The sequence below is a fragment of the Homo sapiens genome, chromosome 8, assembly GCF_000001405.40.
Source record: "Homo sapiens chromosome 8, GRCh38.p14 Primary Assembly".
Classification (NCBI taxonomy): Eukaryota; Metazoa; Chordata; class Mammalia; order Primates; family Hominidae; genus Homo; species Homo sapiens.
The window spans coordinates 3,490,479-3,507,305 of NC_000008.11; the positions used below are offsets into that span (position 1 = coordinate 3,490,479).

Below are 16,827 nucleotides of genomic sequence, written 5' to 3' on the forward strand. Positions count from 1 at the left end.
TATTTTAGTGACATCCTCTCTTAAATTAGGTGTTTTGGTAATAATAATACGTGTGGGTTACATTTTTCAGCTCTCCGGAGTGTTTGCATGCATTATTTCATTTTTCTATTTCCCACAGGCTGGAAAAGTTTATTATACATATTTTATAGCCAGGAAAAGACAGGCAGAGAGAAGGAAAATGACTTCCCTCAGGGTCATGGGGATAGCAAATAGCTGGAGCCAGAAACTCTATCTTTGACTTGCAGGCCCCTTTCTATCCACTGTAGTGCTGTTCCCAACCCTGTCCCAGGTCAAAGGCAGGCAGTGTGTGCGACGATCGCCTTAGAAGCTTGCCCAAAATATAGATATCTGGGCCCTCAGATGTAGGACTCTGTTTTTAAAAATAAAAAGAAAAAAATTTTTTTTTACCTAGTAATTTGTCAACAAAAAAGAGTCATTATTTGGCAAGGGTGCAGAAAAATAGGATCCTTCATGTTCCACTGAGGTTTATATAAATTTTCAGGGGGGATAATTGGAGAAACGTAACAATGTAAATGAAGATGCCTCTTCATCCCCAAATTCCTCAATGGAAATGTTCCTGAAGGTATAGCAAAAAAGTATGCCAATGTCTACATACAAAGATATTCACTTCACAGCTGCTTATAGAAGTGAAAGAATGCGGTGAGAGCGTGAGTGTCAGATGCAAAAGACTGTCAAAGGGAACCAGGTAAAAAGCATGGTAGGTCCACAGGCGATAAAGACTCAAGATCCTGGAGCAGTATCACATCACTGAGTTGGAATCCCTGCCTCAATGTACACTAGGTTTGTGAACTGGGGTAAATCCTTTAACCTATCAAAACTTCAGCTTCATCAATGATAAAGCAATGATATTATTAGACCCAAATTCCCAGGATTATAGTAAAGATCAAATAAGGTAAAATGTATTATGCATTTAACACAGTGCATGGTGCGTAAAAGATACATAAAAGTTAGCTAGGACATTACTAGTGTTATTCTCATCATTATTATAATAAGTTGTGGTCCAGCAACATGATTTCAATTATGCTTATTAGTAATAGTTGGAATGGGCCAGCAGGAAGATAAGCTAGAGGGAGGTGTTCTCTTGCAAAATGTCCAAGATTCGACGAATGAAGGAGTCGTGTCCCTGGTGGAGTCCTCTTCTGGGTCCATCGATTTTTAAGGGAATATACAGAACAGTTGGCTAGTGCTTTTTCAATGTGTGAATTATCTCATAAGTAATCAATAAATAAGGGGATAAGGTGAGTATAACAGACTGCATCTTTTTACTAGCATGGAAATATGGGATGCTACCCGGGGCAAGATTCCTCACAAATGAAGAGTGTTAGGGAAACCAGCCCCACACCACCCGGCGGGTACCCCGAGTCCAGCGGAGACAAAGGAGTTAGAAAGAGACAGAATGAGAGTTTAAAAGGCGGGTCCAGGGGACCTGAGGATCCGGAGGCTTGCTCACAGCCCAGAGGTCCCGGCCTCCACCCAATTTATTGGTTTACAAGCTCTTTGTTCTCAGGGCAAATGGGAGGGGTAGGAAGGGATGAGGAAAAGGATTAATCAGTGAAGGAGAACTTGTGAGTCATTCAACAAGGTGTATGTGAATTTCCTCCAGCAAAGGCGTGTGTCTGAACTACTTAAGATCTTTAACCTATTGGGACTGAAACGGGTGGGCGTGGGTTTCAGGAGAAGCCAAGATGTTTGATTATTCTCCATTGCTTCAGTGGAGTGTTATTTCCCCAAGCAACCAGTGGCATGCCGCTGAGCTCTTCTGCTCTCAGAGCATAAAGACATGAAGGAAATAAGGAGACTTTTCTCCTCAGAAGCCGCCCATGGCTCCCCATGGGTGTCTCACATAGGGCAGACCAGCTCATCTGGCACCACAGAAACTCTCTTTCCCACAAAGAGGCATCCTCAGTAGTATATAAGTAGACAAAGAAAGCAAGGTGAACACCTGCAGAACACTTTCCATTAATGAAAGACGCTTCTGGTTTAGTGGTTTCAAGATCTACAACATGAAGAGAAGCTATCTGTGGAGTTGCAAAGGCAGATAAGAGCAGGTATTTCCTTTCTCTTAAAAACAGAGAGGAAGTACACCCTCAAATCATTTTCCTAATTTTCATAAACCAGGTGTGATAAAATGGACAAAAACTGTCTTTGAGGCCCTCTCTCTGGAAGTAGCTGAAGCAGATGCCCAGGTCATAAGGCTGCAGAACAGTCTGTGATCCTGGTGAAAACTGAGAAGTGGGATCAGTCTGCAAATATTCACAGCAAGGCTGTCACCGTGTTTGCTAAGACTCTGGAATCAGAGTTCTTCAAAGGTACACTGAGTCACCCCCAACACTTTTCCCCCCCATGTCTGTTACTTTATTACGCAGTTTTACAGGAAGTCTGGAAAGGTGTATGGCATTATTCCAAAAAAGACCTGTATTTCCCAGACTAGAAAGCATCTGTACCTCTTTAAAAACCCTGATAATATAACATCACAGGGAAGCAGAGGAGAGAGGTTAAAAAAGAGGTGTTGGCTGGGTGCGGTGGTTCACACCTGTAATCCCCAACACTTTGGGAGGCTGAAGTGGGCAAATCACCAGAGGTCAGGAGTTCGAGACCAACCGGGCCAACATGGCAAACGCCTGTCTCTAATAATAATACAAAAATTAGCCTGGCATGATGGCACACACCTGTAATCCCAGCTACTCAGGAGGGTGAGGCAGGTGAATTGCTTGAACCCGGGAGGCGGAGGTTGCAGTGAGCCGAGATCTGACCACTGCACTGCAGCCTGGGTGATAGAGTAAGAACCTGTCTCAAAAAAAAAAAAAAAAAAAGGGGGGGCGGAGGGGTTGATTTGAAAAATTTATTGTTTTTTGCTACCTCATGAGTATACTAATTTTTTGCCATAAACATATATGTTTTTAATAATTGAAGAAAAACAGTCGAAACAGATAACACATACTCCTAAATTATACTCATAATGTGTTCTCATACAAAATGAGATTGCAGGCCACTACATTAGCCATAGATGGCACTAAGCAAACACCTGAGGCCGAATTACAAGCCTGTAGCAGAATCTCATCTCCACCCACCGTGCCCCGCACTGCATGCATAAGAGAAGAAGAAGCTCAAGGACATACTCACACGTACAAGACCGATCTGGTGTCTCCCACCTTCCCAGCATCACCAACCGTCAGGGTGTCATAGCCTCGCTCCAGCTCAAACTCTTCAAAGGCAAGCTTGATGACCTAAATACAAGGTACGAAACAGTGACTTAGAACAACAGGTACTTCCCATGACTTTTAATAGGTATTGCAAATATCTAGTTATACTGTTAAATTTTGCTCCTTAATGCCAATGTCAAATGATCCCAGAGCTGCTTTAAGTAGTTACATGGATAATTATATATATTTGATAGCCTGGCATTATAGAATTTTATGAAATTCAGAATTGCTATTACTCCCAACTTATGTATTTTCACCTCTAAAAATGAAATTTAACCTCTGCAACACTTTAAGCCAAATATCTACTAAATGTTTACTTTAACATTCTCAGTGCTTAACTAAATCAATATTAGCAAAAGAAATGTTGGTTATAGTTAATGACATATATTTTTACCATATCCAGAATGCTCTGCAATAAATATTTTTAAAGTTCTATATGCATACTTCATGGAATTATCCATATTAGCACCCCAAAAGACTTTATGAGGATACAAAGCTCTCCTCTATATTTAGTCTTGCAAAGCCTGTAAGTTTTTTGTTTGTTTTTTTACAAAGAATACTTTGTCATGATGAGCAGCACCAAGACATCTGTACAACAATGGTTTATGTTTGATGTGCCAGTATATTATAATCTATTAACTTCTTTCTGTAGAGCACAAGATCTTTTTCTCCTGAAAGAAGAAATGCTTCCTTTGGTGGCCAATACTATGAGGAAGAAAAAGTTAGGCTAGAACCCTGGGTAGTAAGGAGAAAAAGGAAAGAAGATAAATACATGATGATAATTAGAGGAATGATAGATAGATGATAGATTAGATGGATGGTAGAAGATTAGCAGATACAGACAGATTAGATGATAGATAGATAGATAGATAGATAGATAGATAGATAGATAGATAGATAGATAGATGACAGATAGTAGATAGATGACAGACTGGATGGATGGATGGGTGGATGGAAAAATGACAGACGATACACAGATACATGAATATATAAATGAGAGAGAGAGAGATGTAACAAGAGAGACGCAGAGGGTGTGAGAAAGGAAGGCGGAAGAGAGAAGGGACAGGAGGAACAGAAACCATAATACTGGAAGTACATTTTAATAAACTGTGTTTTAGAATGAAACAGAAATTCTGAAATAGCGTAGAAAAGTATCAAATGCCTGTTTGTTAAGCTTGAAAGAAAAGAGTAAGTGGTAGCATAGAGAAGACAGACTTCCCACTAATACCCAAGTCCATGTCCACCATTCCAACAGGCTCTAAACAGGTGCTTTTCCAAGCAATGCCAAAAAGGAATACATTACATTTGCTACTTGAAATTCTTACTAAAATTATTAATATAGCCATTATAATTTATTTAAAAAACCTACTATTTCAAATTGCAGTATTTGTATGAATACATTATTTTAGCAATCTCATTTGAAATAGGTGTCGAGGTTGATAGCTGTTGCAAACCAGTATAAATACTGCATGTTAAACGTAGCACCTGATATTTTTATTTCTACTTTTTGTTTCTCATGAACCAATTTATAAGTGACCATCATCTGATAATCAGACAATTTTAAAACTGAAAGAATCATCACTGAGACCTGCTGGTTTCCTTTCCGACATGTTAACTCAGTCCTGACTTGTTTAAAGTTCTGGTGGGAAGCGATGATAATTCATTAAGGTTTGTGTGTCATGTTTGGCTGATTTGCAATGTGTACAGATAGGGGTCACACTATATGAATGGGCTCTCATTAGGGGTGGAAAAAGGGCCATTCTGTAATTATTTCAAGCCAAGGCAAAGGTAGACAGAGAAAGTCTTTGTCAGTATTTCATCTCAACAATCAGCAGGTCCTGTTGTCAAACACCAATCTTTACTCCACGCTGCTGATGCTCAGTAAAAACAGAAAATGCAGCCTTGGTCTTGCATAGACAGCTTTTAGTTTGTCATATGGCATTTTACAAATATATGCAGCTGTAAAATAGAAGTATGTGTATTTTAACCACATATACCATCCTTTCAGAGTAAAAGAACCAGAGATGCAAATGAAAACTGAAGACAAAAGGATAATACATTTCAAGTTGTGAGCAACTTTAATGACATTGAGCCAAAATGGTTTTAGTTCCTACAGCATATGCACCCTCCTTATGTCTTGCATGGACTCCCTCAGCTGTCCTGGAGCTGGATGCTCCATATTTCTTTTTTTACATATAATTATCTTATCTTTCCTTAAGTTCCGGGGTACATGGGCAGGATGTGCAGGTTTGGGACATAGGTAAACACGTGCCATGGTGGTTTGCTGCACCTGTCAACCCATCACCTAGGTATTAAGCCCAGCATGCATTAGCTCTTTTCCCTGAAGCTTTCCCCAACCAATGTTCCCGAAATAGGCTCCGATGTGTGTTGTTCCTCTCCCTGTGTTCATGTGTTCTCATTGTTCAGCTCCCCTTTGTAAGTGAGAACATGCGGTGTTTGGTTTTCTACTCCTGCCATTTTTCTTAAGTGCCTGCTTAATGTTCCTCCCTCAGCTATGGCTCCACTGCCGACTCTGTCCAAGAAAGCCAGTCTCTTTGCCAAAATCCTGCCTATCCCCTTCATAACATTCCCTGTGTTGGCAGTTTTGGTTGGTTTGCTGTTCTGCCTGCCCTGCAGAGCTCCCTGTAAGGATTGAGGGCAGACACCATGTGGCTTGCTCGTGGAGGGAAGCACTGGCCTCAACCTACAAGAACTCACTGAACATCAACTCCTCCAGGCCACAGAGCTAGGAGTGTTTATTTGAAATCTTTCTACTTTTTTGATATAGGTGTTTAATGCTATAAACTACCCTCTTAGCACTGCTTTTACTATATCTCATAGGTTTTGGTATGTTGTATTTCTATTTTCATTTCCCAGCACTTTGGGAGGCCGAGGAGGGTGGGTCATGAGGTCAGGAATTCGAGACCAGCTTGGCAAACAGAGTGAAACCCTGTCTCCACTAAAAATACAAAAATTAGCCTGGCATGGTGGCGTGTGCCTATAGCCCCAGCTACTCGGGAAGCTGAGGCAGGAGAATCACTTGAACCTGGGAGGTGGAGGTTGCAGTGACCTGAGATCACCACCGCCACTGCACTCCAACCTGGGCAACAGAGTGAGACTCCGTCTCAAAAAAAAAATTATGTTTAAATTTTGTTCTTAATTTCTTTATAGACCCATTGGCCTATTTCTTCATAGACCCATTGGACACTCAGGAACATGTTTAATTTCCATGTATTCGTACAATTTTGAAAGTTTCTCTTGTTATTTATTTCTAATTTTATCTGTTACAGTCAAAAAATATACTTGATATGATTTAGATTTTTAAAAAATTTGTTGACCCTTGTTTTGTGGGATAACATACGATCAGTCCTGAAGAATATTCATACCATGTACTGATGAGAAAAATGTGTATTATGCAGCTGTTGGATGAAATGTTCTGTAAATGTCCGTTAGGTCCATTTGGTCTACACTATAGTTTAAGTTTAACACTTCTTTATTAATTTTCTGTCTAGATAATCTGTTCCATGCTGAGAGTAGCAGGATGTTCAAGTCCACATCTATTATTATATTGGAGTCTATCTCTCCCATCAATAATGTTTGCTTTATATATCTGGGGTCTCTGGTGTTGGGTGCATATATGTTTACAATTGTTATACATTATTTTTGTCTTTGTCTCATTTTACATTTGTTTCACTTTCCATTTATTTATTTATTTATTTATTTAGACACAGTCTTGCTCTGTCACCCAGGCTGGAGTGCAGTGGTGCAATCTCAGCTCACTGCAACCTGTCTCCTGGGTTTAAGCAATTCTCATGTCTCACCCTTCTAGGTATCTGGGATTACAGGGTCAATATACCCAGCCATTTCACATTTTTTCACTTAAAGTCCATGTTATCTGATAAAAGTATGGCTATTCCTGCTAGTTTTTGGTTTCTGTTTGCATGGACTATCTCTTGTAATGTCTTCAGTTTAGTCTATGCCTTTACAGGTGCAGTGAGTTTCTTATAGGCAGTATGCACTTAGATATTGCTTTTTAAATTATATTGTCACTTGGTTATTTCTGTTCTGGTTGTTTTGCACATCCTCTATTCCATTCTCATTCTCTTCTTGGTTATTTTTGTGGTTTGGTGGTTTTCTGTAGTGATATGGTTTTACTTCTTTCTCATTTATTTGTCTGCTCTACCAGTGAATATTACTCTTTTGTGTGTCTTCACAATGGTGGTTATCACCCTTTCACTTTCAGATGAAGGGCTCCCATAAGCATTTCTTGTAGGACCATTCCAGTAGTGATAAATTTTTATTAGCTTTTCCTCATCCGGGAATAATTTTATTCTTACAACTCTAATGTATAGCTTTGCTGGGTATAGTATTCTTGGCTGACATTTCTTCTTCTTTTTTCTTTCAGCATTTTCATTATATCACCCTGTTCTCCCCTAGCCTGTAACGGTTCTGCTGAGAAATCTAATGTTAGTCTGGGAGCTTCTTGCTTATATTTGACTTGACTGTTTTGTCTTGCTGTTTTTAGACTTCTCTTTGTCTTTGAAGTTTTTTATTATGTATTTATATTGCTATATCAAGGTGTGGATATTTTGGAGGTATATGTGGTACTTTGATACATGTATACAAAGTTTAACGATCAAATCAGGAGAACTGTGATATCCATCACCTCAAATAATTTTTTCTTTTTTCTTTTTCTTGGGAAAATTACAAAATCACCAGGAGAGAAGGAAGAATTGTCTTTGACTTTTGATAGTTTGATTATAATGCTCTTTGGAGAGCATCTTTGGCATTAGATCTGTTTGGTGATCTTTGAGCTTCCTGGATCTGAATGCACATATTTCTCCAAAAATTTGAGAAGTTTTCAGCTGTTATTTTATTATATAGATATCCTACACCTTTCTGATCTCTTCTCCTTCTAGAACTCCCATAATGGGAATATTTGTCCCCTGCATTTTGTTCCACACATTTTGTAGGCATTCCTTATTCTTACTTATTCTTTTTTGTCTGACTGGCTTATTCCGAAAATCCTGTCTCCAGGTTCAGAAATTCTTTTTTCATCTTGATCTAGTCTGTTGTTGAAGCTCTTGATTTTATTTTTTAAATTGTATTCATTTTATTATTCAGTTTCAAGACTTCTGCTTAGTTCTTTTTGTGTAATATCTCTGTTGAATTTCTCATTCAGATCATGAATTGTTTTCCTACTTTTTGAATTGTCTATTTTTATTCTACTGATTCTCACGGCGTATCTTTAACATCATTATTTTAAAAATCATATAGGCATTTTGTAGCTGTCCTTTTCTTTGGGATATGGAATTAGAAAATGATTTTGTTCCCTTGGGGGTGTCATGTTTCTTGCTTTTTAGACATTTCTTGTGTTCCTACATTAGTATCTATACATCTGACAAAACAATTTCTCCTAATATTAGAATGTAGTTTTAGTAGGAAAAAACTTTTTCCTGTAGATGTGTCTCATAGTGTCAGTTGGGTAGGGTGCTTTGGTTTGTATTCTGCATGAGTACAGTAGTGCAGTCTTCATGATATTTATTTGGTTGTAATCAATGTCTGCATGTTTGTAGCTGTCTGAGTAGCCTTGGCTGCAGGTGTTTGTGGAAGTGTTGGTTCAGCTCTAATGCAGATGGAGACTTTGGGGTGGCCTTGTTTTGGGGATATAGAAGGTCACATGAGCCATCTCTGCTTCTCAGTGGAATGAGTTTTCTGGCAGTGGTTGGCCTCAGGTGGGCTGGTCCTTGGGTCCCTGGGGAGCATGTGTGAGCATTCAGCAACTCCACTGCTTGGAGTGGGGGGAGTGTTCACTGCTGGCAGCAGTACCCAAAAGGCCAGTCCTTGGTCTCCTGCAAGAGGCATATATCCAGGGTGCTTGTTGGTAGTGTGCCTCAAGAATTCAGCTCTCAGGGTCTTGGGAGCATGCACTTTGGCTCCCCCTGTCTTGAGAGTGGCCTCCCGACTCTGCTTGACGACTTGTGGTATAGGGTACTTCATGGTCTTGAGTGCTGGGTTCAGGTTTGTGTCACTGAGTGCAGCTGGGGTCATAGTCCTGCATCCTTCTCCTTGGCTGTGGTGGGATGATGGCTGCGTTCTCAAGATGTGGAGATGCTACTGGCCCTGTGGGCAGGATGTACTCTGATAGTTCTTCTGTCCTGAAAATGGCACCATGCTGCAGCAGCCTGAGGCCCAGAGAACAAGAGAGGAACCCGGTGTGAGTTCTCTCCCCGGAGCAAAACAGTCATGTGGGCTGCAGGTAGCTCCCTACCCTTGGCTCAGGGCCTATGAGGCCTGTGGGGGCTTTTCTGAAGCCCTGAATACAGGCATCTGGGGTGGGAGTGTGACCTGCTGGGGATCTCCCACTTACCTTCTCCCTACAATCGGGAGTCCTTTTTTGGCACTGAACGGATCCTACCTGCGCACTTCACGTTCATCTTTATGCTGCCATCTTGAGTTTCCATGCCTTAGAGGGTCTTCTTTACTCTGTTGCTTCAGTACAGTGTTCTCCCCTAGACACTGCACTTGACATGTGCTTACCTACTTGTCATTTTGGTTCCTCTTTGTGAAGGAGGAAAGTGCTGGGCACTCTAGCTAGACATCTCGATGTCTGCTAAGCTTTGCATGACTTTTAGACATTTCTAGATGGTACGTCAAGCCACTGTGGCCAGTGAGCATTTAGAAAAAAACAGTATGGAGCTTGGGAGAGGTTCACGACCAGACACACAGAAATGGGGGTCCCTAACCACAGATGCCACCTAAAATACTAAGACTCTGTCAGAGTATCAAAGGAAGGCACGTGAAAAGAAGAGGAATGAGGATGAGCTGCAGTCTCTTTCATATTTAGAGGTCAAGGAATTGAGGAAGAAATGACAAAGAAAAAAGAATCTGTGGTAGGGAGGACACCAAGAATATGGTGTTTTGTGAAAAATCCATAAAACTAAAGATCTTAAGGAGGAGGGAGTGATCACATGTGTTGAATGCTACTAAGAATGTGAATTAGATGAGCTCTAAGATGAGACGTGTGGGCTTGACTGGATGGAGGACATGGATAACCATGGCAAGAAAGAACAGCAGAGTTGTAGGCATGGAAGAAGCGCTAAAGTGGATTGGCAGAATGGGATGTGAGGAAGCGGAGTAAGTGGTTCTGCAGATCTCTCAGGTATCTTAACTAACATGGATGAAGAGAAGTAAGAATGTGTCAGAGAGGATTTTTTCTTTTAATGGAGAATATTGCAAGAGAATAAGAATGATTCAATAAGTATATAAATGATTTTGCAGGAAAGAAATATTGTTGCTACTTTGATTCAAATAATATGTATTTTCCTTGACAAAATATTAATTTATAAACAAAATGAAAAGATTTCCCAAAAATCAAAAATAAAATATACTATATAGTTTCAATTTACTGAAAAAAATTCATTTGATATGGGTCCATTCAAATAGAGAGACCACTTCTCCTGATTCAGTTAAACCAAAAGAATCCAAATATATCAACTGATCTCTATGATCTTTGCCTCTGTGCATGTGCATACACACATGCTCACACACACAGGCACAGAAACACACATGCACACACATACACACACACCCCAAGAAAAATGTATGCATCATTGGGTTTCTTCCTTGATAGCACTATTTTTAAGTTTTTCCTTTTGATGTTCTTCCGTAAACTACATTTGTTTTTCTGAATAACATGTTTGTGTCAGAAACTGTGATGGCAGGCAAATGAATAGGAAAAATATTTTATAATTTTCCAAGATTTAGAACTGACAGCACAATATAAATCAGTACCAAGACCCTACATCTTGGAATAAGATAATTTATAAATGCTTTAATTAATAACTGTAGGTTTGAAATTAATGGGTTAGAAATGACAACTCAGAACACACTGGAAGGAACACTGGAAAACTGACGCTATAATGTATCTGATTCATTCCACTTCAAATTATGTATCAGAAGAAAGGCCTTTCAAACAGTGAATTTCCTCATAAAAAACATGATAACAAGTTTATGTCTGGAAATTATTAACACGGTTGCAAGAAGAACGATTACACATTTTAAAAGAAAATGCACACTTTCTTAGAAAATAAATATTATCAAATAATTTTACTTGTTTTCACCTGAGGTTGTAAGGGCCAATCATAAAACAACTAAAAATGTAATTAATGATAAGGAGACAAACTGACCAAATATATCTACCATAGATACTGGATAAATATACGTTTAAATTTCCTACAAAAGAACACATACAACAATCATTGCTGATGGGAATGCAAAATGGTACAGTCACTTTGGAAGATACTTTGGAAGCTTCTTACATAACCAACTATATGCTTATCAAATAATGAAATAATCATATATCTTGGAATTTAACACCAACAGCTAAAAACGTATGTCCACACAAATCCCAGCACTTTGGAAGGCTGAGGCTGGCAGATCACGAGGTCAGGAGATCGAGACCATACTGGCTAACGTGGTGAAACCCCGTCTCTACTAAAAATATAAAAAAATTAGCCGGGCATGGTGGTGGGCGCCTGTAGTCCCAGCTACTCGGGAGGCTGAGGCAGGAGACTGACGCGAACCCAGGAGGAGGAGCTTGCAGTGAGCTGAGATCGCGCCACTGCACTGCAGCCTGGGGGACAGACCGAGACTTCATCTCAAAAAAAAAAAAAAAAAGAAGTATTTCCACACAACAAACAACTGCACATGTACGTTTATAGCAACTTTATTCATAATCGCCAAAATTAGGAAGCAACCAATATGTCCTTCAGCAGGTGAATGGATAAACTGTGGTATATCCAGACAGTGGAATATTATTCAGGGCTAAAAGGAAATGAGCTGTCAAGCCATGAGAAAACATGGGGGAAAACTAAATATATTTTACCAAGTGAAACAAGCCAATTTTAGAAGGTGACGTGTTGCAACATTTCAACTGCATGACATTTCGGAGAAGGCAGAACTATGGAGACAGTAAAAAGATTAGTGATTGTTAGGGGTTAGAAGAGGGAGGGATGAAGAGCAGGAGCACAGAGGATTTTTAGGACAGTGAAACTCTCTGTGTGATGTTATAATGGTGGACACTGACTTTATACAGTTGCCCAAATCCACAGAGTAAATAGCAGCCGGAGTGAGCCCTAACGTGCACTATGGACTTTGGTAATTCAGCATGAATCAATGTTCATCATGCATGAACAGCATGAATGCATGTTCATCAAATGTAACAAACACACCATGCTGAAAGCATCTGGTGAGGATGCTTACAGTGGGGAGGTTGTGCATGTGTGGGGGCAGGGGGTACGGGGAAACTATGTCTTCTGATCAATTTTGCTGTGCAAACTGCTCTAAAAATAAAACCTAATAAATTAACAAAAATTACACATATAAGCTTTTATATCTGTATGCAACACATACCAATAGCCCACAGTATACAGTGTGAAATTACAAAGACTGAATTTCAACCTAGAAAAAAGTACTTTGAACACACACACCCACACACAAAGAAAGGGAGTTAGAAAAATATGTCATTAATTCTGGGATATCCTTGCTTTATCTGAGATGTTTAGCCCCACATATAAACACTAGGAGTCTCTTATAAACTACAATTCAATGCACTGCTATGAAGAAGAGGATTCACACATTATTTCAAATGTAACTATATGACTATTAGCCTATGCTACAAAAAGTCAAAGCTGCTAGTGATTCAGGGTGGGAAATAAAGTTTGCACAGGCAGTGAAAAGCGCAATTCCTCTAAAACACAGCAGTCTTGGGACGGCGGCATCAGCTGGCAGGAAGCCAAGAAACTTGGTATTTCATGCTAAAATCTCCCAGATGGTTCTCTGGACCTTTAAGTATTACTGACATCCCCGCCCTCAGGGCCCTGCCAAGTCCCTTTTGTCAGCTTTAAATGGTACATAAATTACCGTAATTCTCTTTGTGCTGCCCTGCTACAGAGAGAATTAGTCTCAGCTCAAGACAGCTAAAGAAGCTGGATGTCCCCCATCCACTGGAAAGGATTCCTGAGAAGACCTGGCTTAGTTTTCCCTGTCTCAGCCCACCTGTGGTTTCAAAATGGCCTAAAAAGCAGCCCCCCTCTTTCCTTGCCCTCCATCTCCCCCCATCCCCCCTTGCCCCCCCCCAACCCCCACACTCTTCCTAGCCCCTGGTAGCCACTGTTCAACTCTCGACTTGGATGAGATCAACTTTTTAAACTTCCACATGAGTGAGAATATGGAGGCGGGGGTTAGGGCGTGGACAAGAAGTGGTTGATTTTGGGGTATGAAAGTCCAGCTAGATAGGTGCAATCAGTTCCAGTGTTCGACAGCACTGCAGGGTGACTGTCATGAACAACAATTTGCTGTGTATTTCAAAATAGCAAGAAAACAGGAATTTAAATGTCTCCAACACAAAGAAATGATGAATGTTTGAAGTGATGAATATGTTAATTCCCATGATTTGATCAATGACACACTGTATACCAGTATTGAAACACTGCATGTACCCCATAAACAGGTACAATTATTATGTATTAATTAACAATTTCTTTAAAAAAACATTTTTTTTAAGTGAACAAGTACAATCACACTGACAAAAGAGAGAGTCTGGGCTTTGCTGCTTACTCAACGAGAGTCTTGAAAGAATTGTTTAACCTTTCTTCTGTCTTATCCGTAAAATGAGAATGATGCCGATTTCCCTGGGGGATTTCTGGGATTCAAGAATGCAGTGCAAGCAAGGTGTGTACTTCTTCTTGGCATCCAGCAGACACTTGATCAATGGCAGTTGTGTTCATTATTATCCTCATGGCAACCCTTCATAAAAACCTTGTCATGTCTGCCAGACCCAGGCACATTCTGCCACCATTTGAAGTATTCTGTTATTTCAAATCTCACGAGTCTTTATAACCAAGAAAAACTCATCTGTCTTCTCTCTGACTCTGCAATTTCTAACTCCAATTTTATCTAAAATGACCTCTTATCTTTTGAATTCCCGGCAAATTTTATCACCTGCACCCTTCCTTCTCTATTGCAGTAGTGGTATTTTGCTTCTCTTAAGTGTGGTTTTCACAAACTACTTAGATGAAGAAATTGTGGATGCTTGAGGAGTAAGGTGAGATTCATTAAATTTCAAGAGAGTAGCAAGTTGAGAGTCATGTGAAAATGATAGTGGCAAATGTGGCAAGGAAAATTTCTGAAGCAGAACCCGTCAAAATGCCAGTGAAATGGGCAGAGATAGAAAATGCTTAAGCACAACAACAAAGATTAACCAGTGCACCAGGGAAAGTAAGCAAACAAAACAGTGATGGAGAAACAGTTAAAAAAAAAAAAAGTTTTGCTGCATAAGATGGGAGAATAAGCTAGTGAGAATTTCAGGAGAATTTCTGTAACCCCTGAAATAAAGTAACCCAAGCATCACAGGCAGATTTCAGTAAATTATTGAAATCTGCCCTCAGATGTATGAAAGAGGGTAGAGTAAGTATTAAAAAATGAGAGACTGGGAATGTAAAAGTCGCAATGCAATAATGGATATAGAATAAACCAGAACACTGTTAGATGCGATAAAATGCAGAATTAACATTTACATCAATCAACCAAAGATGTGTGGAGTGACCGCTGAAACTTTGAAGGAGCAAAAGATGAAAAGAAGATGAGAGAAAATTATAGATCACTACATGAAAGCAAAAGATATTGAAGTTTCTTGAGAAATAATTATGGGCGCAGAATCAATAATTAGAAAAATAATGGAAGATACACTTTCACGACTGATTAAAGAGTTGAGAAGGAAGATAAAAGTGCTTCATTATGGCCCCTGTAAATGAAATAAAGCTGTATGACAATAATAGGAATACGTCACCTCACAGAATTCACACTAACAACACCAGAAGAATTCTGTACACAAACCCAGAAGAACAAGCAGATTATATTTGAGGAAATACAAATCAAAGTTAGTTTTGTCTTTTTTTGGTAGCATAACAAAACCGTAGAGGTACTGGACCAACAACACTATGAGCACTGGATAGAAGGGAAAACGATGTTCTGCTTAGTATGTCTACTTAGCAAACAGGCTATTTTATGTGAGAAGGAAGAGAAAATATTTACAGATTTTTAAATGTCTCAGGTATCGTATCAACACACTCCTTATCACCAACTTGGCTGAAAGGTGAACTTCAAATAATAAGATTAATTTAAAAAACAGTTACTTAAGGAGGTTCTTTACAAATACACTAAAAAGAATGATCTCCAAAAAGTTATGTAAACCAGAAAGGAAGAGGGTTGAGTGGATAAAAATACACGTATGTATATTTATTCTTACATATTAAACAATATAATTTAACAAATGTAGAAAGGGCAACCAAGTTCCTCCTGGGGTTGAGCCCTGGGGCTGTGTTCTCATAAGGAGGTGTCTCATCGGAGGCCAGGTGATAGGTGCGGCGGCCAGCAGAGGAAGTGCCAGGGAGGCAGCTGAAACTCAAGGACTCTGAACACCCCCAGCCCCAGGACGAGCTGTCAGGGAGACGGCCCTGGGGGAGAGGGTGCAGGTGAGCCAGGCTCTATGTCTGGCATCATCTGTCACAGACACTACTTAAGTGCCTCAGATTCCTACTACCCGCTATTTCTAGACATCCAAAGAGACAAGGAGGCTTGCCGGAGTTTGCATGCTAACAAGAACACTGGAGGTAGGGGAGTAAACACGTTTTTACACATGTGTAGAGAGGAGAAGGTGCCGAATGGGTAAGTACTCACATTCTCACCACTGGTCATGGCCAGAAAGGGGGAATAAGTTACTTCCAGTCACTCTTCCAATAATGCTCTATGGAGCAGCAGTTACACAGATACTTTACGTTTCATTCATTCCCTCATCTTTCATTCATCTTCAACCACGCCTCTAAATATCTCTATGTCTCCCAAAAAAGCATGCTAATATTTTTCTTAGGAAAACTTACATCTGCATATTCAGTAAGTTTCTGGAATAAATAAACTCCGAATTTGGGGTGTCATGAAGATAAAAGAAAGGAGGCAATGATTGACTGTATAGGAGATTTCGAGATAATTCAACAAGGTTGCTCATGGTTGGCAGTGATTTACTTCCTCCACACCTGGATTTTTTAAATGCTTTTCAAGGTCTTAAATTTTAAAAACACCATAAAACTAAAATAAATATAAAAGTGTAATGACACTATTTGATGTCGGATAATTTGAAAATAAATATTGGCAACATCACTTAATAAATGTGTTGATGTTCACACTTAACTAATTTAGGAAGTTTTGCTTATCTTTGATATAGAGTTTCTAATATACATTTTCATACAAGATGTTGTAAGAATTGAACAAACGTATATACCAAGTGCCTAACATAGAGCTTGGTGTCATGGTTACAGTTTTACAAATGATAATTACTATTATTATAAAAATCATAGAAATTGAATAAACAGAATTTACATAGTGGAAAAGTGGTGATTTAAGTGGTTTAGAGGGGAACTCAATTGTGAATCATCATGAAATCTATTTTGTAACATTAGGTAACCTATACAATATTTTTTTTGTAGAAGTAAAAAGGAAAACTTCTGCCTTTACTCATCTCATTACTAAGAATATTTTTTAGCTT

At 39.4% G+C, this 16,827-nt stretch overlaps 1 protein-coding gene across 3 annotated transcripts in view, besides 1 other annotated feature; it reads right to left on the bottom strand.

Moving 5' to 3' along the window:
- CSMD1 (CUB and Sushi multiple domains 1) overlaps positions 1 to 16,827 on the bottom strand; it is a 2,059,554-nt gene that overhangs the window by 555,118 nt on the left and 1,487,609 nt on the right. For all 3 annotated transcript variants that reach the window (XM_011534752.3, NM_033225.6, XM_017013731.2), the window contains exon 11: positions 3,145 to 3,248. In XM_011534752.3, coding sequence (XP_011533054.1) covers positions 3,145 to 3,248 — 104 coding nt within the window. The remainder of the gene's footprint in view (positions 1 to 3,144; positions 3,249 to 16,827) is intronic.
- Positions 2,221 to 3,420: an enhancer, noted in NCBI's record as "BRD4-independent group 4 enhancer chr8:3350221-3351420 (GRCh37/hg19 assembly coordinates)". NCBI's record gives its function as "activates an origin of replication core promoter dependent on BRD2, P300/CBP, MED14 and CDK7 cofactors, and independent of BRD4, by STARR-seq in HCT116 cells {active_cell/tissue: HCT116}" and the evidence as "EXISTENCE:reporter gene assay evidence [ECO:0000049][PMID:35650434]".